The following is a 3122-nucleotide window of genomic DNA, read 5'->3' as shown; positions in this document are numbered from 1 at the left end:
TCGTTTTGTTCTGCTTTTTCTTTTTTAACCATGTGACTTGATTTATATGGAATGGTGATAACAGTTGTTTTATTTTTGAAGACAGGCAACAAGATAGTATTCGGTCAGCTTGGATATTTTGTGTGGTGCTCGTGACCCCACCCTTGTGTATATTTTTATGGTTGGTGGCAATGTCACTGGTGTTTTAGAGCCAAGTTCCATGAGCAATCATTCATTAGCCCTTTAAGATTTGGGTTTTTCCAGACAGGTTCGTTGTTTTTGTTAGATTTTCAAATGAGACTGACCTTACCAAAAAAAGCCAAAATCTCTTGGAGAGGAAAAAAACACTAAAATTTAATATAATTTGGTGATGTTAATTAATTCAAGCAAAGACCCTGGGACATACTGGTGCAGTCTGACCTAACCAGTGAAGTTTTGTTTTTGGATGGCCCAGAAAAGATGAGATGTGTTTGGAGGAAAGGACATCTTCAGTTTACGCTTTTTTTTTTTTTTAACTTGGCAAAAATAATTCAGTATTCCATCTGGGCAGCACCCTGGGGTCTGCTTGTCCCTCCCTGGCTCCAGCCCACTAACCCAACCCACCCAAAGATCAGCAGTTGACACACTATTTGCAGGGAGGTAGAATTTTTTTTTAAGGTACTCAATTCTGAGGCCCTTAGCGCTTAGCAAAGCTCAAAAACACATGGCTACAGATAAAAACGTGCTATCAGGGTTAGGTAATTTTGAAAACTGACTACCAGCAGCTGGTTAGACGTTTACAGGCTTTGTTAATAACTGATGTGTGTGAAGAGGAATTCGTTTCTTCAAGAGAAATTAATGTTCTAGAGATTACATTCCATAGTACCTGTAATTAAACAGCGTAGAGTTGCCTATGACTGATTTTGGGGGAGAGTGTGATTGGTGATAAAACAACATTTGTAATTTTAGCCATCACTGTTGACTTCTGGAGTGTGAAATAAACCATCTGATCAGAGGTCAGTGGTGCTAATTGTGGGAGTGGGGGTGGGGGAGGTGCTCTACAGCTGCTTTTAGATCAATCTAGGTCTGTAACCTTGGCTTGAATAATCTGACTGAAATACTAAGTGGGCTGGTTGAATGGCTTGACTGAACCAATGCTGTACAAGAATCAGAGTAGCAGCCTGAGGAATGTAATGCAAGTCCTGTCCCTTCTGTGTCTGTTTTCCTCATTAAAATCAAGCTCAGACAAGGATTCAAGGGCCTCTTCCTGCCGCTTATGCATTATTTCTACTCACACAGATTCTGTATGCCCTGGAAAATTGGTGGGGGGAGGACTGCAATTTCGAAACTATTGGAAAACAGAAAAGAGAGGTCTCCAGTTCACCATCAGTCCCTCAAGTTCCTGCTGCCAATCAGACCCCCTCCCCCAGTATGGCTATTCTGTGATCACATCGTGGCTCCCAACCAAAGAAATAACCCAGGGCGGGTGACAGCTAGAATCTTTTCTGGCTGGCAGTCCCACAGGCCTAAGCGCAAATCTTGGTCCTGCCATTTATAAGGCATTTCCTACTTTGTGACAGGACTGTGAATCTCCAAAGTAACCTGACCTTAGAGAAGTCATAGGTAAAAAGTAAAAATAGTAAATGTTTTGCCCAGACCCCAGCACATGGTGCAGTGGCTGGGCAGCTGTGGTTATCTGGCCTGTCACTCAGTGCTGGGTGTACAAGGGAACACCGGCAAGCATCAAACCCTCCGGAACCTTCAGCTTCTCTGAGCACGTGAAAGGGGGCGTGGCCAGCCCTTCAGGTCTGGGCAGGTTCCTTAGAGAAGCAGTGCTGAAGCAAAGAGCATGCCCTGGAGGAGGGAACTTCTCAGGTGGTGGGAGACCACATTGCCGGCACTGCAAGACAGCAAGACGCTGTGGACGAGCCCTCGCAGGAGATCAGGCTGCACAGGCCAGACAGGATTCCCAGGACTGCCTTCTAAAGGTTTTCTTTTTCTTTAGTTTTAAAATTTTTACTTTTTAATTTTTTAAGTCTTTTTAAAAATTATTATTTGAGACAGAGTCTCACTCTGTCGCTGTCGCCCAGGCTGGAATGCAGTGGCGCGATCTCGGCTCACTGCAACCTCCGCCTCAGCCTCCCGAGTAGCTGGGATTAAAGGCGCCCGCCACCACGCCCCGGCTTTTTTTTTTTTTTTTTTTTTCTGTAGAGACGTGATTTCACCATGTTGGCCAGGCTGCTTTCGAACTCCTGACCTCAGGTGATCTGCCCCCCCCACCCCCACCGGCCTCCCAAAGTACTGGGATTACAGGCGTGAGCCCCCGCGCCTGGACTTTGCCTTTTTTTTTTTTTTGGCAGGGTCTCTGTTGCCCAGGCTGGAGTGCAGTGAGGCAATCATAGTTCACTGCATCCCTCAAGCGATCCACCCGCCTCGGCCTCCCCGATCCCTGTGACTACAGGCACGCGCCACAACGCCCGGCTAATTTTTGTATTTTTTAGAGACGAGGTCTCACTATGTTGTCTAGGCTGGTCTTCAACTCCGGAGCTAAAGCGATCCTCCAGCCTCGGCCTCCCAAAGTGCTGGGATTACAGGCGTGAGCCACCGTGCCCGGCACAATTCATTTTTTATTAAATCAACAGAGTTTACAATATGACCATCTAAACATTGTTGACTAATGAGCTAAGATATTGTTGACTAATAAGCTATGATTATTTACCTTATTGTACAACCTTTTGTTTTCTCCAGTGTCGAAAACAGCATCATTTTTTATTTGCTTTTTTTTTTTTTTTAATATATTTTTTGAGACGGAGTCTTACTCTGTCGTCCAGGCTGGTGTGCAGTGGCGCGATCTCAGCTCCCTGCAACTTCCGCCTCCCGGGTTCAAGCGATTCTCCTGCCTCAGCCTCCCCAGTAGCTGGGATCACAAGCGCCCACCACCATGCCCGGCTAATTTTTGTATTTTTAGTAGAGATAGGGTTTCACTATGTTGCCCAGGCTGGTTTCAAACTCCTGACCTCAGGTGATCCCCTCGCCTCGGCCTCCCAAAGTGCTGGGATTACAGGCGTGAGCCACTGCGCCCGGCCGTCATTTGCTTAATTTTCTACGCATCACCCAAATGTTCCAACAGACGTGTGGTAAAAGCCTCTGAATATCATTGTCCG

The 3122-nt window shown here is 46.1% G+C and overlaps 1 pseudogene; it reads right to left on the bottom strand.

Moving 5' to 3' along the window:
- The window catches only part of LOC107985803 (uncharacterized), a 28878-nt pseudogene that overhangs the window by 25558 nt on the left and 198 nt on the right, over positions 1-3122 (bottom strand).

Source organism: Homo sapiens, chromosome 2, assembly GCF_000001405.40.
Source record: "Homo sapiens chromosome 2, GRCh38.p14 Primary Assembly".
NCBI classification, from domain to species: Eukaryota; Metazoa; Chordata; class Mammalia; order Primates; family Hominidae; genus Homo; species Homo sapiens.
Note: the sequence above shows the minus strand (reverse complement) of the source record. Positions and strands in the feature narration are given on the sequence as shown.